This window comes from Homo sapiens, chromosome 2, assembly GCF_000001405.40.
Source record: "Homo sapiens chromosome 2, GRCh38.p14 Primary Assembly".
Classification (NCBI taxonomy): Eukaryota; Metazoa; Chordata; class Mammalia; order Primates; family Hominidae; genus Homo; species Homo sapiens.
In genome coordinates, this window is record NC_000002.12 from 33,089,209 (window position 1) to 33,112,442 (window position 23,234).

The 23,234-nt window shown below is 39.0% G+C and overlaps 1 protein-coding gene across 38 annotated transcripts in view; it reads left to right on the plus strand.

Annotated features, from left to right (window-relative positions):
- Positions 1 to 23,234, plus strand: part of LTBP1 (latent transforming growth factor beta binding protein 1) — a 452,557-nt gene that overhangs the window by 142,256 nt on the left and 287,067 nt on the right. For all 38 annotated transcript variants that reach the window (XM_011532853.3, XM_011532857.3, XM_011532861.3 and 35 more), the window contains exon 4: positions 21,374 to 21,543. In XM_011532853.3, the coding sequence (XP_011531155.1) occupies positions 21,374 to 21,543 (170 nt within the window). The remainder of the gene's footprint in view (positions 1 to 21,373; positions 21,544 to 23,234) is intronic.

Consider the following 23,234-nt stretch of genomic DNA (forward strand, 5'->3'; position numbering starts at 1 on the left):
TGACAAAGTGGGAAAAGCTTGGATTTTTTCATAGTGGGGACAAAATATGAGATTGGAGATGACATACCTAGCAGAGTCCCTGGCACATAAAAGCAGCATAGAACATTTATTTTCCGTTCTCATTAGTGCCTTTTAGATCAAATTGAGAAGGAAACACTAGAGTCAGCGATACTTGAGTAGGGTGATATTGCCCTCCACGTGACATGTGGCAATGTCTGGAGACATCATTAGTTGTCATGGCTTGGGGGAGGGTCCTACTGGCATCTAGTGGGCAGAGGCCACCAATGCTGCCAATGCATCCTGCAGTGCACAAGATAGCCCCCTACAACAGAGAATTACCTGGCACTAAGTGCCAATAGTGTTGAGGCTGAGAAACCCTGTCCTAGTCACTCATAAAGCTATATTAAAATATTGAGCCAGATAAAAATTGTGTCATTATACACATCTCATGTTGAATCAGATATTACTAACTAAAGTCTATTAATATGTAGCACATAAGTGAATTTTCTTATTTCTTTATGCTATGGTTCCTGACGTAAATTACTTTTGTTTTTAAAAACTGATGATTTCTGTCAATATCAGGGACACTTTTCACCAATATGTTTATATATTTTTAAAAAGATAACATTTGCTTTTCAAACAGTGCAGTAAACGTATACCAAATGAAGCATTGCTGAGCTGAGCAAGCCCTATTACTTGATAAAGTTACAACAGCCACACAAGAATGGAACAACTTGTCTATAGTTTGATCAAAATACACCTGATTAAAATACATTTGATGAGTTTGCTGATATTTATTGAAATGAAACCTAGTTGATGTTACGTGTTTTATATACATTTAACCCGCATTTTAGACCTACTAGACTTTTACATTTAAAAAGAGTTTCTGTTTTCTCTGGAAGAATATTATTAATTTCTGCAGCAGAAGAGAGTTGGAAAATTAGGGTAATTCCACTGTTTCATTTGCTCTGTCTTTCAGACATGGTGAAATGTTTCATATTTGAGTAATTGGACGGAGTGGGAAAGACTTTGAAGATATTCTTTGTGTTTATTATCATTGGCTTGAAAGTTGGCCCTTTTTCCTGGACATTTCATGGCACATCAGTAACTCACTTGGTGGGATCACAGGTGTTGCCTTTGGTGGACTGATATTCTCATAATGGGGATCTGATGTATGGTATGCCGAATCTGTCTTCGCGCTTGTGACATTGCTCTTAACTCTTGAGTGCTATCTCAAGTGTAGTTTCTTGTGAAAATTGATGACATTTACTGAATGCCGAGTGTGTGTTGGGCACAGTACTAAATGCTGTTCGTGAATTACCCATTTCATTCTCATCACAATGTCATGAGGTAGCTACTATTATGGTTCCCATTTTAGAGATAGGGAAACAGGCTTGGAAAGTTTAAGTGATTTGTCCGTGGTTGTGTAACTAGGGGGTAGGGAGGCTAGAATAGGTCACGTTACCCTGTTGATGATCTTTGCTGTCTTCAAAGGAGGGGTTGAGGCGGTGGGGTGCTTTTAGTGAGATAGCATACAGAGAGAATTCTGACCTTAACTCTAAAGTCCAACTATAATAAAATAGCAATGAAATATAACTCAACGCCATTTCATATAGCTCTGCAAGGAGAGGGAAGGCACTTGCTGGTACAGTTGGGTTTAAAAGGATTACCTTGTTGAGTCAGTTTTCCCTCCCCTTGGCTAGCAGTTGGGGCAGAATGTGGAAATACAGATTTGCAGTAATGCATGACCTGAGAGGATGCTGCTTGAGTCAGGCTTGGCTTCCATAGTGTGCACAGACTTCTTCATGCCCCATGCTGCTCTAATTGTACTTAAGAACCATCTAGGAATGCTATGCCTCTGGGTAGCAGCACTTTTGTGGAGCCTCCCTGTCCATGTCCAGAAAGCTGTATGAATGGAGGTTTGCCTGGTACTTAATGTGTGTCTACGTGTGTGTATGTATGTGTGTGCATGCAATGTATGTTTGCATGACTCTCATTGGTGGTCGTGGGGAGTGTGTCATCTCCTCCCATGGACACTTCCTATATTTCTGGTAGCCTCTGGTCCTGTGGGGCTGTAAGTAGTTAATTGTTCCTAGTTCTCTCTGGTCTATGAGCAGCTTAAGCATAGATATTGTGTTAATACTAGTAGTAACAGAGACCCTTTGAGTTCTGGTCTCTCTCTGTTTTAATGATGAAGCAACTAAGCCAAAGATGGGTAAATAGTGCCTGAGGATACTCAGCCCATGAGTAGAAGAGCTGAGGTTCCTACGTAAGGCGGTCCAAGGTCAACATCTGTACTCTCTTCACTATTCTCTGTTCTCTCTTTTATCTTTGTATCCTTGGCACATGGTAGTTAATCAGTAAGTCTTAGCTGAATAAATGCTGCTTATGAACACTTCTAGGTGGAAATTAAGCATTGCTTTTACCAGAGTATAATGCTGAATTGTAATATACTCAAGGATGGTGGCAAGAATCCCCTGTACTTGGTGCCGAATCCTCTGACTAATCGCCCGAAGGAAGTTCTGTGTTCTCAGAGCATCTGTCCTATTTGTGTCTCTTGGGTCTGGATTTCCCAGTCTTTAGTCCAGTTTCATAATCTGCCTCCTGAGCTCTTCCAGGGAAACTTTCTGAGCTTTTCTTGGTGCTGTTTGGAGTTCCACTTTCAGAGTGAATTTTCATTCTGATGTTCCCTGATTGGGGCCTCCCCTGTTGCCCTGGGAGGGAGTCCTCACATTACCCCCAGCTCAAGAGAGAGCACTGGCCAGGCGTGGGGCACCTCTAGCTGTGTGACTGTGGAGAGTAGCCTTTTTACATCTTGAGTTTTTCATCTACAAATTGTGAGGGAAATTACCTACTACAAATTGTAGTAGTAGGTAATCTTGTTCTATAGTTCTTTGCCGTTAAAAAAATTATGGACCCCTTTAACAATCTGCCAAAAACACACCTTGTGCTGTGCGTGCACGTGCGCATGCACACACACACACACGCGCACACACACACACACACAGTTTGTCACAGAATTCCAAGGCACCCAGAGACCCTGCTCACTCAGATCCCGTCCCTTTACTAGTTATCCATATGTAAAGGATCTGTTCTTTATTGAGTTCTGTCTGTCTTTGACAGTCTGTGGCATGCCATGATAAAGTTCTTTTTAAAATACCAAGTTTATTGAAAAGATAGTCTTGTGTTAGAACTTGTAAAACTCACAAACCTTTCAGCCTGGGCTTTGAAGCAAAAAAGGAAGGTTTAGAATTACAATATAGACTCCCATCAAATAGGTGTTGACAACTCCAGACATTAAGCCTTCTGGGTTATTCCTCACTCCCTGCCTTCTGATTTTTATCCCATTCTCTCATCATCTGTATTATATACAAACAATGGGATGAATGTTTTTTCTTGGAAGGAATAAATACTGGAAGGATGTTTCATAGGTGGAATTTTTAGTCTTAGAGAGAACATCAGTAATTTATCTTCAGTTTTAGTTTAAATGGAAGGAGTATTTGAGGAGCTCCTGGATCCCACAGAAGAACTTGAAATCCTCTCTCCCCATTGCTCTCGAACTCTGCATACAGCAGCTGCCTCCAAAAAGTCCCCATTTCCATGACCCTAAATTCTCAAATTCTTCTGACCACCTCTCTTCCCCACCCTCCCAACCTACCTGGACCTATTTTCTGCTAGTATATTTTGTTCTTTATTATACAAATCCCACCTGCCCTCAAGGAACTGATTCATAGACCTGCACTCCTTCCTTTTAGGGGGAATGTTTCAGTCACTTATAGTTTCATAAATTCCTTTCATTTCTGTCACAGGTGGAGGGGAGGGAACCCAGGGAGTAAGAGACCACCCCACAGAGCATCCACTCTATTAGAAGACCATGTGGCACCCACACGAACTCCAGCAGACATTTTCTGAAGTGGAACGTGTCTTTCAACAAACTAGCATTTTGTTCATAACATTCTAAGCAGTCCCTGGTATATTTGAATGAAGCTTTTGTTTCACTTACATGTATTTTCAAGGGGAAATAAGTGAGTAAAATAAAATATTTGATTTACAGCGGTTAAGATGGTTAAATGCAAACGTCTTTGGCTTGCCCCTCTTTCCCCTCCATATTGTTTTCCCCTGCTCTCCCTCCTATTCAGTGAGATAGCCTGTTGTTCACGGATTCTAATGGGATTTTATTTACCGCCTGGTGGAAACAGTTGAAAAAAAATTACACAATTGGAACAATTCAAGCATTTTGAAACATTCTCTTGGCAGTTTTTTTTTCTTTTTTTTGGCAACTAGGATACGCCTGCTCAAAACATTTTTAATGTTTTACCTTCATGGGCTCCGCATTTGCCAGTGTAAATGTTTCCAAATTGTTCTCTTGATTTCATTCTTAAGACCCTAGGCAATGAATATAACATATGTATATATGTACGCACATGTGTATATACATATATGAGTGTATATATAAAGAGAAATTACTCTTGTTCTTTGGTTTAAAAATAACAATGATTTCTTGCAAAGAGAAATCATAATTGTGAAGCTACAGTTATCAGAAGCCAGCTAATTGAATTCCACTGAGAACTATTAGAGTCATATACAGTAATGATGATGATGATTATCATCATCATCATCATCATCTCAAAACTTGCCTTGGCATTCATAAGAAATCTCATGATAGCAATATATTTTAGAAATGTGGACATAACTAGTTCTTTTTATTTTCTTTTTAACATTTCAACAAAGTGGGACTTAGAACTCAGCATCTCCTGGGTCCTACATAAGTAATTTAATGTGAAACTTAAAGATGTAAAAAGAGAGTTTAACAGGATAAATGGGTTCTGGCAATACAAGGTAGTGGGTTAGTAATGTAAGTTAATGATATATAACTTTCAATAAAGCTTTTAGAGTTTTTCATATTTGCAGACTATTTACAATTTTTTTATTAATAGTTCTGCAAAACAACTTGTTTGGAATAAATTTATTTTGTATCTCTTCTTCAATGACATAAGAAGGTTAAATTAGCCCAATCATGCAAAACAGTGAGAGAGTCAAAATTTAGGGGATTTCTGTTTCAGTTTCCTTCTTCCCTTAAGATTTTTGTCTCTGATACTTTTTTAAAAAAATTTTAAATTTTTGCTGTATCTAGGAGACCTAATGTAAGATATTGGAACAAGCAGTTGTCTCTAGACTTGTTTCTGCCATTGTTGACATTTACTTAATTTTTTGATGTTGCATAAGTTATTTAATTTCTTTTGCAATCAGTTTCCTCACCTGTAGAATGAGGAGACTGGACTAGGTGATTTCCTAAGTCCCTTTTAGCTGTCTGAACACTGCTTTTCATCGGTGAAGTTACAACTGGCCTCCTTCAAGAATGTAGAGTACTAGACCATTATCACATGAGTTACAGATAAGGTCTGGGGAATTACATAAAGTCATTTACTGTAATTGGCTTGCAGTACTCTGTGAGTACCACATAATAATGCTATTTTATTATTCAGTGTGTTAGAGGTTACAGATTCCCCAGTTGCCAGAGATGTGATGAATCCCCTTGGCCTTGGCAAACAGACTGCTTTCATGAGTTGCACTGCACATGGTTATAAACCCAATGGCTTTCTGAGCTAATGTGCAAGGTAATGCCATCTTCCAAATGAAAAAAAAGTTGCATTTACCCATTCCTCTAACGAGAATATATTTCTCCTCACTTTAAAAATAACTCCATTACCAAATGCAAATATGCATAATGAGATGGAATTATTTCCAAATTTATACACTATATAGTTTTTCTAGTGTAAGTAAACTGTTGCTATGAAACCAAAAACTAAGAACTTTACTGCCCCTTTTGTAGTCTAATTACTTAAAAATGAACAAAGAATGGTTTTATTCTGTGCTTTTTTTAAAGCAAGAAAATATATATCAGTATATAACAATAGTGATCTTGAATAAAGGAAATGTGTTTTTAAGATATAGATGGGGCAAATTTTTCTTATCAGACTAATGGCACTACAGATGACAATTACAAACTCTGAACAAAATATAAAGTGAACTATTTGAAGGCATTTGAGAGCAATAAAAAGCAGACTGAAATTGGAGGGAAGTTAACTAAAGAAAGAAGGGACCCCCAAACATCTATATATAAACTCTTCCCAAATTTCTTGGCTGATCCTGGGGAGACTCCAAAGTTCCTAGTGAAAAGCAACAGCTGGAAAGCTGAAAGAACTGAGCTATTGCACACTATAGAGGAAAGATAATTTGGAGTTTGAATCTAGCCAAGTAACTGCCTGGGCAACAAAATAATTAACATTATTTAGAGTAAGATAGAGAGTCTCCGCAAAATAATATTCATGAAATACTGTACCTAATAATAACCATGAGAAGAAGAGGAAATTTGACTCATAGAGAAGAGATAAAACAATCAGTAGAAAACAGCTCTAAGATGACTGAAGATGTTGGAATTAGTGCACAAGACTTAAAAAGCATATATATATAAATATGCCCAAGGACTTAAAATATGATCTTAATGAAACAAAAGATGGGGGAATTTTTAATAGAAAAATAGAAAACATTAAAAAACAGGTGGAAGTTTGAAAGGGTAAGTGGCCTTGAAGATAGATCAATATTAATTATTTAATCTAGAAAACAAAGAGAAAAATTATTAAAGAAAAATGAATAAAATCTCAGTGCTGTTGGAGTAATGTCATGTAATTTAACATATATGTAATTGTAGTCTCAGAAGGTAAGAAGAGAGCAAATGTAACAAGAAAAATGTTTAAAGAGATAGTATTAGACAGTCTTGCAGATTAGGTGAAAAACATAAATTTAGAGATCAAAGAAGCTCAGTAAACCCCAGGCAAGATTAATAAAAAGGAAACCACACCTGGGCACTGCATAATAAAACAACTGAAAACCAAAGATAAAGGAAAATCTTGAGAGCAGCCAGAGTCATAAGACATATTACATAGATTGGAACAATAGTACAAATGATCACTTCTCATCAGGTACAAAGTAGGTCATAAAATGGTGGAATGACATTTTTAAAGTGCTAGAAAATAAACTATCTATACTCAGAATTCTGTATCCAAAGAAAAATCCTCCAAAAATGAAGGTGAAATAAGATATTTTCATAAAAATGAAAATGGAGACAATTTGTTGTAGTACATCTCTACAGCAAGAATTTCTGAAGGAATTTCTTTAGGCTTAAGGAGAAGGACACTGGATGGGAACTCAATATAATAGAGTGGTGTGGGGTTTATTACAAACATAGATGTAATATATGTAAAAATGTAAGATTTTTGCAACAAATGCTATTGGGATCTCAAGAATTGTGAGTTCTGCCAACCTATTATCCTGACAAGAACGACAACAGGATCATTGGTGGCAATTTTAATGGTGCTTTGTAGTTTTCAGAGTTTTTAAAGTGTATGTTGGTTTATTCTTAGAGTCATTCTCACAGGATTATTTGGGAGAGGAATTTAGCAGATGATGTTGTGAAAATCCACTTGTAAGAGAATGGAAAGGAATTGGTGGTGATGGGTGTAGGTAGATCACATATGAGAGTGACAGAAAGTAGCTGAGCACAGGAAAGTGCATGATTTTAGTTCTAGCTACTCAGAAGGCTGAGGCAGGAGGATAACTTGAGGCCAGGAGTTCAAGGCCAGCCTAGGCAACGTAGTGAGACCCTCATCTCTTTAAAACAAATCAAAACTAAAAAAAGAGAAAGTGATAGCAGGTGGTGGTGGTGGTTTTCTATCTGAGAAGTCCTGCTCTGATAACTTGGTGACTCTTATAGGGTAGAAGGAGTGGGGATGGAAGGGAGAGGAAGATACTGATAAACCCAATCCTAGTAGAAACAATGGCTCTAGTAATTTTTTCTATAGAATCATATATGCCTACAGGTTCTATAGAATCATATTTGCCTATAGATTCTGTAATCAAAACTTTCTTGAAGGAGTCTTGATGTTAAAAATTATTCTGCTTTAATGTATCCACCGTGGTCTCTAAACTTTTAAATTGTGTATGTTTATCAGCTAAAATGTTTCAATATTACCCTATATATGCATCTTTTAAGGCAACATATTAATAATATAAAGCATCCTAAAAATAGTTCAAGTGGATGAAATAACATAACTACAGATAAAATAAAAGTCAATATGTAAAGTTCTAGTATTTTTCTCTTGTATCCCAGCATTGTATTTTGTACTGTTTGGGTATGGTGCCTAGTTTGAAGACCCCTGCAGTGACAATCAAGCGGGATCATTGGAGTTATTTTGTTTCTGATCATCTGTTTATGCATTTATGTATGAAATACACATATCATTTTACGCCACTGGAATACCATGTTTTTAAAAAAATCATAGACATTGTTAAAATTCAACTTTATTTTGTTTTTTAGCTTTTCCCACTTTATAATGGTACCACTCTCCTTCACAAATAAGTAGTATTAATAATGTGGTGGATAACCTGTGTTTTTCTTCTGTCTATATAATTATCTTTAACTTTTTTAGTGCTTAATAAACAATAAGGATATAGTATGTTAATGTTTCTACACCTTGATTTTCTCACTTAAAATACAGCATAGAAGTTCCTCCCTAGCATTGACAGGATTCATTTTTAGTGGTTATATAGCACTCCATTTTGTAAATGTGCTGATTTATTGAATGAATCTTCTGTTAATGAATATTTAGTTTCTGGTAGTTTTTCTTTTTGCTGTTATAAACAGTCATTTAATAACCATGTTAAATATATATCCTTACATACTAGACTATTATTTCTTAAAGAATGTGATTAGTAGGTCAATGAGTACATCAGTTTTTGATTTAACTTTTTACAGATTGGTTTCCAAAGTCTGTTACAATTCTTGTTTCTATTAGGGATTCCAGAGTATACTTCTCCCCCGACTTTATATCCCCATGACAATAGTTCTTTTAAGAAAAATTATTTGCTAATTAATTAGCAAGGTGAGTGCAAATGTAATCTCATTATGATTGCCTTTTCCTCAGTACTGGTGCGGGTGGGCATTGTTTCATATATCACAGTCATTTAGATTTATTTAGTGAATTGCTTATTCATGTCCTTTGTCCATTTTCCTATTGGGCTTTGTTTTATTTGCATTGAATCACCAATTTGTCTTGTTATCACTTTGTGGGAAACTTCTGTATCTTATGCCCTAATTTTTCATGTGCATTGCAGATATTTTTCAAATGTATTATTTAACTATTAACTTTATGGTGTCTTTTTATATATAAATGATTTTTTTCTGAGACAGAGTCTCACTCTGTTGCCCAGGCTAAGTGCAGTGGTGCGATCTCGGCTCACTGCAACTTCTGCCTCCTGAGTTCTAGTGATTCCCCTGCCTCAGCCTCCTGAGCAGCTTGGACTACAGGCGCATGCCACCACACCCAGTGAATTTTGTATTTTTTTTTTTTAAGTAGAGACGGTGTTTCACCTGTTGGCCAGGCTGGTCTCGAACTCCTGACCTCAGGTAATCCGCCCACCTTGGCCTTCCAAAGTGCTGAGATTACAGGTGTGAGCCACCGCGCCTGGCCCACAAATGATTTTTACTTTATAAAGTCAATATATTTTTTCCGAAAGTCAAACTTGCATTATTTGCTTAGAAATTCCAATGCAAAGTAGGGCAACTAGCCTCAGAGCAAGGCTCTCCTGGTATATATGGGAACTGTAGAGGCACTACCTTCACCATGTTCTCTGAACAGACCTACCAAGTTGAGGCTTAAATTGGGTACATACCCAACTGAAGTTTGGCTATGAGTCCTGTTGTTCTAGTATAAGAAGATTTACTTGTTCAGATTTTGCAGCTTCTCATATAATTTTGTACTTGTGCTCCAGACATATTGAAATAAGCCATATATTTTTTTCTCCAGATATATTGGCTTTAGGGGAAAAAAACCCTCCAACATTTTCAGCAGTGTTAGAGGATCTTGCAGGTCCTGTAGGGCAGTAGATATTTTGTTTCAGCTGGATCAAGCCCTAAAAGGGGATTGGAACAGATGTTTGAATTTGGTTAAATGCTTTCAATATTTATTACTTAGGTGACCTAGTTTAGCAGCAATTGTAATAGAAAAAAAACAAGGCCATTTGAGAAAAACAGAGTTTCTTGCATTCACCTTAAAAATTGAAAGAATTTTCCCTTTTTATTTAGTTTATTTTATTTAGCTTGAATGTGGGAAAATAAAACCCTGAGAGATTCTCTTCCTAATTTGAACAGATATCTACTTGTATATTACATTTAAAAAATTTTCCCGTATGAAATATTTTTTTGGTGTGACTGGAGAACAGTTTTGGAGCTACAGTTCTTGATGTGCTAGTTGAACTCTGAAAGCTGGAGGACTATAGAGATATCTCATAGAGTCCTGTACTTCATAAATGAAGAGACTGAGACTTAGAGGAATTTGGTAACATTTGAGTTAGGGCTCTCAGAGATTCAGCGGCACGGGCAGATGGATGATTTGAGTTTCCCAGATCCTGTGTAGTACTGTTTATTCTTCCCCTGTGTTGAGCACCATGTGCCACGTGGATGCCTGTCCTGGAGAAGTAGGTGCTTGGGTCCTCCTACCCATTGGATTTATCCTTGACTCTGTGGGTGCCTCTCATAGTGCTTTAGTGTCAGGAAGGTGCTGGCTAGTAAGAGGGAAAATTGTGAACGAACAGCTTCTCTGACATCTTCCCACTACCTTTTCCATTCTTCTAGGCTTAAAGGTCACAAGGGGGAATAGATAAAATTAGCATCCGAAACCAAAATCCATGACTGTCTCTTGCTTCCATTAGGGTGCGAGGTGGAGAGTTCAATAAAACAATCATGTAAATCAACCACTACAGCAATGCAGTGGGAGAATAATCTGGGGAGTGAGCAAAATTAGGCAGGAGAGTTCTCCCAGGTAAGTGGATAAAGGTTATGTCTGACATCTGGCAAACTGGATGTTAATTCCTCACAATGCGATAAGAGGAGCATCACTGGAGAGCATAACGTGTTCCGGCTACAGAGACTGACAGCTCATGCTGTGGTTCATGGGAACAGCTAAGTGAAGAGTGCGAGAGTGCAGGAGGAGTAAAAATGAAGTTGATAACATGTGGGATAGAAGTATATACCTAGCTGCTACTCCAGAATTGGCATCTCAAATGGTTACCTAAAAGGGGATAAAGACATATTTGAAATTGGCTGAGATGAACAAGACTTGACACTGTGTCATCCAGAAATATGAAGGATGGGGGCAGGGGGGGCAAGAAACCCAGCTTCTTTTTCCCTCATTCACTGTGGTACCTGACTTTTTTTTTTTCAAGGAATCTAGGGTATAATTGCCTTTTTTATGTAGTTTTAAAAAATTTTTGTAAAGTATATGTAATGTAAAACTTGCCATCTTAACCATTTTCATTGTACAGTTCATGGAAGTACATGCACCGTGCTGTGCAACCATCACTACTTTCTGTTTCCAGAACTTTTCATCACCCCAAGGAGAAACTCTACCTATTAAACAGTAATTCTCTCTCTCTCTCCCCCAACCCCTGGTGATAACCTCTACTCTATTTTCTGTCTATAAATCTGCCTATTTCAGAGACCTCATAGAAGTGGAATCAAATCATACAGCATTTGTCCTTTTATGTCTGTCTTATTTCACTTAGCATGATGTTTTCAAGGTTCATCTGTGTTGTAGCCTGTGTTAGAGTTTCATTTCTTTTTAGGATTAGATAATATTCCATTGCATGGACAAACCACATTTTGTTTGTTCTTTGTCCCAGGACATTTGGGTTGTAGGTTCTGCCTTTTTGCTGTTATGAATAATGCTGCAGTGAACAGTGGAACATAAGTATGTTTGAGACCCTGCTTTCAGTGCTTAGGAGAAGAATTGCCAAATTATATGGTAATTCTGTGCTTAATAGCTTTTTGAAGAGCTGCAAAACTGATTTTTCACAGTGCTTGTAGGGCTAGGTTCCTTGACTCTTACAAACTCATTAGGTATTAAGGAGTGTGAACAGCTGACCCTAGGATTGCTGAATGGGGCTTTGCAAATTCTGAGCTCATTGTTTACAAATAACTTCAAAAAAAATTTTAAGTGAAGCTTATATTTAATGAAACTTTAGAAAGTAAGCTTTGCTTTTTTCTTAAGTATACACTTAGGCAGTCTTTGAATAGAAATCTAATATTATCAGAGGGATGAAATTCTGTTTTTGTTTTGTCGTTATTGGAAGAGGAGTGAAAGAATTGAATATCAGGTATTGTGCTAGATATTTTCACCCATCATAAAAAGAAATCACTCATCCTTATCGTTTCTGCATTAACTTTGTGAGGCGATGTTATTACCCTTATATCACTATGAAGGAGTTGAGGTAATTCTTCCCTTCCTTCCCATGATAAGTGGTAGAGCTCAGGTTTGGTTCTTAGAATTCAGTTAAAAAGTCTCGTGATTGGCATTTCCCCAATAGGCTAGGAGCCTTAATTACTCAACTGTTTACATTTTGAATTTTTTTTTGGATTGTATTAGTTAGGTTTTCTCTGGCCCTTGTTAGTTTAGATAAATAGGAGATGGCTACAATTTCTTTTTAATTTGGTTTTAGATAAGCTCTCCTCAGTAACCAAATGTAGTAGCTCGTTTTTTGAGAAACTCAGGAGTTTAGTTATTAACAATATCTCTTTCAATGGTTGCTTGTTAAATAACTTACTCAGTTCAAGGTTTTGATGATTTCGGTGTACTGTGCTTTTCAGAATTTTTGAACACAGTTACCTCATCCTTTGCAGATAGGATATCTGCTTTTTTTAGCACGTAGCTTTGACAATTAAACATAGAAGAGAAGAGGATATGTCTTGTGTCCAGGCAACTTGAGTATAGGGCCACCTCTCTGGCCTAATGGGGCATCCAGAGGACACATTTGGAGGTTGTGCAGTTTTGATCTCCTCCTTCTCCAGGGTCGAAATTTCTGTGTGCCTGGCCTCATCATCTCTGTAAACCTGTCTGTCATTGGCTCTTCATTCATATCTGTTGTAATAGTTTGGTGATAGTAGCCCACGTTTAGAGCGCTAGTTTTCAACCATGGAACTATTGATATATTGGGCCAGGTACTTTTTCTGTTGGGGTGGGGGGCTGTTCTGTGCATTATAGGATACTTAGTGTCATCCCTGGCTTTTTCCCAGTAGATGCCAGGCTGCCATCTCCAAGTCTTGACACTTAAAAATGTCTCCAGACATTGCCAAGTGTCCCTGAGAAGCAAATACAGCCCCTGGTTAAGAACCACTGGTAAAGGAAGATTTGGAATTACTTGGTTGTGTTGATCATGTTTCTTAATGACCATTACTAAAAATCGCTTATTTTCTATATTTTTTCCCTCAAATATCTACCTTCTTTCATTTTAATTTCTCAATCCCTTTTGTCTCTTTCATCTCATTTAGTCGAAGACAATTTTTATTGGTCTTTCTCTTATATTTTCATTTCTCCCATTTTCCTGACTTTGTGTTTGCTCCTTTCATTTTACTTTTGCTGTGTTTTTCTGGCATACTCTGGTTTTCCCATATTCTTTACTGGCAGTCTGTATATGCTGTTTGTATGCACTGTCCGTATGCACAGTCTGTATGCTGAATGCACAGTCTATATGTTGTATGCACTGTCTGTAAGCTGTACGCATTGTCTGTATGCAGTCTGTATGCTGTATGCACTGTCTGTATGCACAATCTGTAATGCTCTGTATGCACTGTCTGTATGCTGTATGCACTGTGTATGCACAGTCTGTATGCTGTATTCATTGTCGGCATAGTCTGTATGCTGTATGCACTGTCTGTATGCACAGTCTCTATGTTGTATACACAGTCTGTATGCTGTATGCATTGTCTGTATGCATAGTCTGTATGTTGTATGCACTGTCTGTATGCATAATCTGTATGCTGTATGCACTGTTTGTATGCAGATTCTCTATGCTGTGTGCACTGTCTGTATGCACAATCTCTATGTTGTATACACAGTCTGTATGCATAGTCTGTATGCTGTATGCACTGTCTGTATGCAGTCTCTATGTTGTATATATAGTCTGCTGTATGCGCTGTCTGTATGCAGTCTCTATGTTGTATACAGTCTGTATGCTGTATGCACTGTATGCACAGTCTCTATGTTGTATACACAGTCTTTATGCCGTATGCATTGTCTGTATGCATAGCCTGTATGCCGTATACATTGTCTGTACGCATAGTCTGTATGCTGTATGCATTGTCTGTATGCATAGTTTGTATGCTGTATGCACCATGTGTGTAGTCTGTATGCTGTTTGCATTGTCTGCATGTGCTTCCCTTTAGTCTCTTCATCAGCAGCCTGTTACCTCCTAATTCTGTTTTGGTCTGATAGGTAATTCCATATGGATGGGGTCATGGACCATAAATCCTTGTCTCCGTTTACGTGTGTGTGTGTGTGTGTGTGTGTGTGTGTGTGTGTGTGTGAGTGTTATGCTGCCATGTGGCATCTTCCTAATGGTTTGCTTATTCTTTGCCATTCCCTATGTGCATATTGCCCTTGAGCACTCTCCAGGGGGAAGAGATTTTCTGCATCAAATCATAGCTGACACTTTAATTTACTTGAATGCCCATCCTGCTTGTTGAGTAGCATTCACCCATCCTTCTCAACAACTTGAAGGCAGGCAGGGTGCAATTGATCACTTGAATTTTGTGGAGAAGAACTGGCCCTGGCAGCCTGAAGGTGACCCCTGCACTTTCCTCCTGAATCCCTGTTTCCTCTTCTGCTTTTTCTTACTCCTGATTATAAAACTAAGGACCCTCAACACAGGGGAACGGGTTAGATTGTGTTGGACTGGACTTCTGTGGGAAACTTTTTGTGGCCTATTGGGGGTTCCTTTCTGTGAGGTCCAAAGCCCTTTTCTTAACTGGAAAGGGCCTTGTGTTCTGCCAGATCCTCCCACCCTCTCTGCAGGTCAAATAATGGATTTAGTAGAAATATGGAAAAGTTTAGTCTGTCTGTGCGCCAAAAATTGCCACTAGGAAGGCAGCAGTGTAAACAGTGTGTGACTAATTCTTTCTTTTAAGGAAAGCAGTTTTATGCGATTGTTTCCCTGCTGCTAACAAAGATACAGAGGTTTCCTCAGATTCAAGTCTTTAGATGGCCAGCCACACCCCAGCCTCTGGCCTGTTTCTCTTGTTCTTTCTTTTCTGTGTGTCACTAGTATCTCCCCATCACATAATATGCAGTCATATTTTGGCTCCTACCATTCCTAACACCACGCTATTGATTTCTCTGGCCCTTGTTGGTTTAGATTAGTGACCTTCAACCAAACCCAGCGGCCTTTCCTAATTTCTTATTCCTTTGGTTTTCTGCAGTAATTTGCAGGTGGTCCTCTCCTGCTTCCTCCTAGAAACTTTCTTCCACTTACCATTTTTGAACTGACTCGATCCTTGTTTTTCTCCTCTTCTGACTTTTTGGCCTCCTATATTCTCTTTATGTCCCTACCATTAAGTGTGAGTATCCTCCAAGACTGTGTGGCTCCCTGTTGTTTTTCCTGAAACATTTTTGCATTTGAAGATGTTGGCCTCTCCTAGAATGTCACTATTCCTAAACTCAGAGGCTTTTCCCTAACCTCTCCTTAGAGATCCACCCTGCATTTCTGTTTCTAAACTAACATAATCATTCTTGCCCTCTCGAGAATAGAGTGGCCCTTTCTTCTGACAGACATGACTCAGCACGCCTCATTGCACTTACTTTTCCCCTCGGCTTTGAACCAAAAATATCCTTCCAGTGGGCTTGAAACCTTCAAGTTGCTGGAATCCTTCCCTGGCTGTCCCCACCCCTTTGCTGATTTGATCCTCAAGTCCTGTTAGTTCTTCTTATAGTTACCTCCATTATGGCCCCTTCTCGATTTATTCACTTTAGATGTTTTCTAAAATGTCTTGCTCTAGTAGATGAAGACTTAGCTTATTTACTTCACCCCCTGTCCACCAGCCTTCCTCCCAAAGTCATCATAGGCACACTGGGAAATACTGAGGGTTCACATCCAGACCATCCCAAGAAAGTGAGTATCCCAGTAAAGCAAGTCACATGAATATTTTGGTTTCCAAGTACATGTAAAAGTTATGTTTACACTATACCTTAGTCTATTAAGTGTGTAATAGCATTATGTCTAAAAAACAATGTACATTAATTGTTTAAAAATTAATTTCAATTTTTAAATTAAAATGTAAAAATACCTTACTGCTCGAAAATGCTAATGATCATCTGAGACTTCAAATCATATGTGATCTTCTGCTTTTTTTTTTTTTGAGACAGAGTCTCACTCTGTTGCCCAGGCTGGAGTGCATTGGCATGATCTTGGCTCATTGCAACCTCCACCTCCTGGGTTGAAGTGATTCTCGTGCCTCAAGCTCCCAAGTAGCTGGGGTTACAGATGGCACCACACCTGGCTAATTTTTGTATTTTTAGTAAAGATGGGGTTTTATCATGTTGGCTAGGCTGGTCTTGAACTTGCGACCTCAGGTGATCCACCCGCTTCGGCCTCGCAAAGTGCTGGGACTACAGACTTGAGCCCAGCCCCATAATCTTTTTGCTGGTAGAGAGTCTTGCCTTGATGTTGGTGTCTGCTGAGTGATCAAGGTGGTGGGTGCTGAAGGTTGGGGTGACTTTGGCAGTTTTGTAAAATAAGACAACAATGAAGTTTGCCACATCAATTGACTTTTCCTTTCATGAAAGATTTCTCTGTGGCATGCAGTGCTGTTTGATAGCATTTTACGCACAATAGAACTGCTTCCAAAATGAAAGTCAGTCCTCTCAAATCCTGCTGCTGCTTTATCAACTAAGTTTATGTAATATTAGAAATCCCTGGTTGTCATTTCAACAATGTTCACAGCATCTTCAGTAGGAGCAGATTCCATCTCAAGAAACCATGTTTCTTTGCTCATCTGTAAGAAGCAGTTCTTCATCCCTTCAAGTCTGATCATGAGATTATAGCAGTCCAGTCACTTCTTCAGGCTCCACTTGTAACTTTCATTCTCTTGCTGCTATTTCCACCACATCTGCAGTGACTTCCACTGAAGTCTTGAACTTTTGACCTTTGGGTCATCCATGAGAGTTGGAATCATCTTCTTACAAATTCTTATTAATGTTGATATTTGGACCTCCTCCCATGAATCACAAATGTTCTAATGGCATATAGAATGGCAAATCCTTTCCAGATGTTTTCCAATTTACTTTGCCCAGATCCATCAGAGGAATCACTATCTATGGCAGCTGGAGCCTTAAGCAATGCATTTCTTAGATAGGAAGACTTGAAAGTCAAAATCACTGCTTTATTTATGGGCTACAGAATGGATGTTGTGTTAGCAGGCACCAAAAAAGTTAACTTTTTTATACATCTCATTCAGAGCTCTTGGGTGACCAGGTGGATTGTCAATGAGCAGTACTATTTTGAAAGGAAATCTTTTTCTTTTTTTTTTTTCCCTGAAAAGTAGGTCTTAACAGTAGGGTTAAAATATTTAGTAAACCATGCTGCAAACGCATGTGCTGTCATCCAGGCTATGTTGTTGTAGAGCACAGGCAGAGTAGATTTAGCATAATTCTCAAGAGCCCTAGGATTTTTGGAATGGTAAATGAGCATTGGCTTCAACTTAAAGTCATCAGCCACCAACGAAAGTCAGCCTGTCCTTTGAAGCTTTGAAGTCAGGCATTGACTTCTTCTCCCTTGCTTGAGTTGGGGAAAACAGTTGTCTTCATATATAGGCTTTCAATTGAGATAACACTGTTCAGCCCTACTTCTCATTTTCACCCTTTACTTTACTTGGCTTAAGTATTCCGAACCTTTGTGTGGTCCCCTGTGACAACTGCTTCCTCTGTGTCTGTACTCTTTCAGAGTGACTCCTGACCAGTGTACTTGAACTACCGGGTTGTAACCCATTAGAGAACTCATGAAGTCATGAAATACATGTAGTGGCTTAAGATTATATGAAAAGAATAGCTTAGAAGAGAACACGTCAGGGTGCCCTGCACATCGTAAGGGTAAACACTGTCTTGTAAAATTTGTTTTAGTTATACCAAAACACAGACATATATGTAGATATGTATTCGATCTCCATGTAAAATGTACTTTTTACTGTGGGTTGAGGTGAAAGAAGTTAGAAAAATATTTTTTAAGACCATGGCTTGCTTCACCCTGTTACAACAGTCAGGGTTTCTCGGTGCACTTTGAATCTCTTTACAGATTTGTTGAAATGTCTCTTGTGTGTTTATTAATGGATGATATGAAACATATTTATTAAGCTGTGTAGAACAGGTCTGGATCAATCAGAAGGGATGCTGGAGCAGAGACCCTGAGTTCTCCAGCTTTGTCAAATGTTAACTCTTTATAGGATTGAGGAGATGTCTTAGGGGGCCCAGTGGATGGGACAGGGAGATCCACCAGTGGAGGGGCACTTTGGGCATTGGGATAGTAGCTCTTCATCAGTACAGAGTATTTAAATATTTTAAACCACCAGTGTGGCTGTACGATTGCATAACAGCTAGATATGAACCCTGGATTTATATCTTTTTAATTTCTTACCTGTAACTTTAAGGGTATCTTTGGAGGAAGGGGAAATATATGGGTGCCCCCGCCAACCACTTTGAACCAGAATCCCTGCAGTTTGTAATCTAATTTTCTCTTCAAAAGTTTAGTCCCCCACTTTGAAAAATTACGGTTACATTGCTGTGACTAATTTGATGTTCACTGGTGATAGTAAAGCTTTTTTTTCTGAGAGGAGGGAAGGGAGGAGGAAATCCCAATTTAAATGGAGAGAGACTTTTTCCTGAAATACTCGGGGTAACAGAAGGAAAGGAAGAAGTAAAGAGGATATGTATTTGTAAGACTGCAACGTGGTCTGAAGTGGAAATAACTGTGAATAATGAAATTAGAGGAAACAGTGGACACCAACCACGAAGGAGAAAGTGAGGAAGAGAGTGTAGGATAGTGATTTCATATAATGCTTGTAGGATGAGTAATGGGACAGTTTCCTCTACTTGCCTCAGCAGGGGTCCTGTCCGTGGCCTTGCTTCTGTCTCTGGGGGGCTGTGGGGCAGAGGGGCATCAGCCTGTGGGGTACCTGTGCACGCACCTCATGGGGGGAAGCGGGAGAAGGTAAGGGAGTGGGGGCAGCTGTGTGTAGCTCCATATTTGCAATGTGTTTGTAACTTGAGGAATATGTAGACAGTGGTGGCACTTAACTACTGATTTCCTTAAGTTAGTGATGGCTGAGGGCTGTTAACTTAAGTTCTAGACCTAGTACAGCTTGGTTTTACCTAGTTTATTACATTTCTGTTACATTCAGGGAAAAAGGGCCCGTCCACATGTATGCTTTCAGCTCGTTTCTTGTCCTCCGCTTCCTCAATTCAGAGGGGGGACAAGAGACAACCTCAAGTAGAAGGCAAACCCCATACTCTTACTTTTCTGGCTGTGGTTGGGGCACGAATTAGGTGCAGTAGCCCAAGGTCTCCTGGAAAACTGGGTTTTCCTTTCCTGAATAGGAGCTAGCCTGTACATCTCTCAGCGGGTCAGAGTAGCATGGTGACAGGGTGGCAGCATGGCCGGAGGGCAAATTGCTTCCGAGATGCGGAGGATTCCTCTTTCCAAGAGGCTGATAGAAGAGACTTGTGGTTCTTATCAGTCACTACCAGATGTGTCCAGCTGTTTCACTTGCTGCTCTATCCCAACCAAACACACTTAATGTCAAAACAACACTTACATCATCAAAACAAAAGTGTTCACAATGTTAAGCCTCAGGCTTTTAGTAATTTAGTCATTAGTCTGGTGACAAAGGGAGTGCCCTTGTGTGGTATTGCATCTGGGAAAATCCAGGCCCAAAATAGATTTTCCAGGCTTTCCTGAGACCACAGGGTTTAAAGGGGTAGACCCAGATTACTGACTAAGAGGGAAGCAGCCTAATTCTAGCCTCTTCTATTCCTTTATCTCTCATGAATGCCTTTTCCCACAGAATAGCTCATTTACCAGCTCCAATGAGAATGAATCTGATAGAGTGAGACTATTCAAGTTTCTTTTACTGCTTTTGATATGAGACATTGTACGGTGGTGTTTTGGGTGGCTTGACAATTTGCCTTTTGCACTGACTGCCATGGCGTCATTTCTTCCCCTTGTTCAGATAGTCAGTCCCTCCTTAGGATCGGTATTTTGGGTCAGATTACATTAGAGAGCATGTTCCCTTCTAAAAGCTCAGCTTGCTGCAAAACTGCACTGTCCTAACAATTTCAGTAGCAATTTTGCATATTCTGGAATTAGTTGGTATATCTTCTTTATATTTTTCATTCCTCTTCCTCAGGGAATAACTGAATCTGGGCAGAGGCTTATTTTAAAATATGAATTAGATGCAGTGGAAGAGAATTGTCACAGAAAACAAGGGTTGGGCCAGGAGGGTTAGCACATAGTAATCATGTTCAGAAGTTCCCAGAAGTCTTGACTCGTGCTATTAAAAAGATAATGAGAGTATAATTATAAAACATTTAACTCAAATAGTACAATTTATATTATTATGAGACACAGCATAAAAAATTGTTTCCCTAAAGCGGCATCGTAATTTATATTTCAAAAGGAAATTAACATTATTATGTTTTTAGTTTGCATTTGTTCAGATTTTTACAGCCACTTTTTTCTCAGCTCAGTGTCGCAGAGATTCTGCAGTACAGATTAGGTAACTGAGGCTTAAAGAGATTAACCAGCTAACCTTTAGCATTAGGCAGCGTTAGAAGGTCCCACTGTATCATACAGCTTTAATTGTTTATGATTGCTTTTGCTTAACTAATACAACATGGGGATTTCTTGCATAATTCCCTTCCTGTACTTTCTTCGCTATTTCCCCCCTTCCCATTTCCAGTGCTGCACGCTTACTAAATATATACCTGTCTGTGTAAACATCTTTGTCTTTATTCCCTTTTTAGAGATGGGGTCTCACTCTTGTCATCCAGGCCGGAGTACAGTGGTGCAGTCATAGTTCACTCCAGCCTCAAACTCCTGGGCTCAAGCGATCCTCCCATCTCAGCCTCCTGAGTAGCTAGGACTACAGTCATGCACCATCATTTTCTTAAATATAAATGCCATGTTTTTGTGTGAAGGCTTATGGCAGTTGTGCTCTGAATCCTCTGATAAAGTTACCTGTGATGACCTATTTATCATCACGCTTCTTAACTAGACAGGCAGGATCTTTTTCGTGAAGGACGCTTCTGAGCGTAAGCCATCATTTACCTCCTTCTATGTCATGAGTGGTCAGCGACAGTATTTGAAGGAAAAAAAATGAGCCTTGCTTGGAATTGATGCTCCTTTCTACATTTAACTCGTTGCTTACCCTTTCCTTATTAGCTGACTTTTAAAAGCCCATTATTTAATTCCTTCTCTTTATTTTGTTTCTTCCCAGAGTGACTCCTCTTTCTTCCCAGAGTGTGGTGATTCACCATGGCCAGACCCAGGAATACGTGCTCAAGCCCAAGTACTTTCCAGCCCAGAAGGGGATTTCAGGAGAGCAGTCCACTGAAGGTTCTTTCCCTTTAAGATATGTGCAGGATCAAGTTGCGGCACCTTTTCAGCGTGAGTATAGTCTTATCAACCATTTTCCCAAGTTATGGTATCAGAGATTGGAAACACTTTGTTCAGTGTAGACGGCTTTAATGTGTCACAGTAAATAAAATTCAAGAGTCATTAAAAAATCCACATTGGTTCCTGAAGCAACCAGACAGCAGAAATTTAGCATGGTTTCCTTATTCTGAGGAAAAGCAGTTTTTCCTGGGTTTTGGAAATGAATCCGAAGTGACCTGCCTGTCATTCTGTTTCTGCAATATGGCTTCATGTCTAAGACATATTTGCTCTAACTTTGGGTCCAGTCATATGTCTGACATGTTTACATTGATGCAATATTTTCTTTAGTAAGCTAGCCAGGACTCATGCCTTGTGAAACGTCTGAAATGTCCTGCATAGCTCTCTGAGGTTCTCCTACAGTGGATATTTTTACATTATAAGACTCACCTAGTTTTTAGTGTATCAAGCAGCTGGCGTGGCAGATTTCTCTGAATTTGTAAAGCGCTATTGTATCAGTGGCCAGCTTGGTTAATATCTCGCTATGTGGGAAGCTCAAGGACAAGGCCTGGCTCAAAGGGTGGGGAATGTGATGATTTGTGGTTTAGGTATTACAGAGTGTCTGCCGGCAGCATCTGGAGAAAACGTTCTGGAGTAAGGCGCAGCCCATCCAAAGGCGAGAGCTAGACACACGCTCTCGTTCCAGCAGCTTCCTGCCCTGTCACATGTTGACTGATTGCCTGCACCATAGGTAATGAAAGAGAATGCCAGTTGTGAGGTGGGAAAAGGACCATCTTTCACCACTGGGAATAGTATGAAGAGTTGAGATACAGTTTTTACTACTGTTTGGCACTAGTGAAGTCCACATTTGTTGTGGCTTTGGTTCCCTACACCCACTCCACCTCCCCGTTTCTGTACTGAATCTAAAGTGATTGACTCTTCCCTCAGAATTGGTCATTTAACAAAAAGAGTATCTAACAGCAGGTTTGTCCATCCACTTTTTGTCTTTTGAGAAAGTCCTGCTCAGTGACCGGTGGCTAGACCCCAGAACAATAGTTTGGTATGGTTTATTGGGATGTTGAGGAAAGTGAGCCCTGGGGATCTTAGGGAAGAATACAGAAACCATTTAGATCATTAGGAAAAAATCACTTCCAAGTCATTTGCAAAAGAATAGATGCATCTATTTGATTCTTAAAAATCCTTTGATATTCGTACTTAAAGAGCCGTTTCTCTTAAGTGAATATTTCTTGAGTATATGTGTAATATTTTTCTAATACTAATTTTAAAAATTAAGGAAAAGATGTACTTCTTATTTCCTTGGGGTTTTATACAGATGACAATTTTTTTAAAAGATCTCCCAAATCAGAGTGTGATGGGAAGAGAGATTTTAAAGTTTATGATTATACTGATAAGAGAAGAGAATTCTGAATTATCTGGAGGTATCAGGAAAAGATGGTTAGAGAACACTGGTATTAAGACTAGAGACTAGACTGTGGTTTTGATTTGTTTTCTGTGATTTGTTATTGGAATGAAAATTCCCACTGTGTGTGTATTTCCACCCTCGTGTGTATATATGTATTTTAAACTCTCAAATCTTGGTTGAACTGTGTTCTGAAAGATGAAATTATATCTTAGAAGAATGTGAAGATAAGTTTCTTATCTGTTCTGTCCATATCTTTCCCGCTCATCCTGTTTAAATATATTTT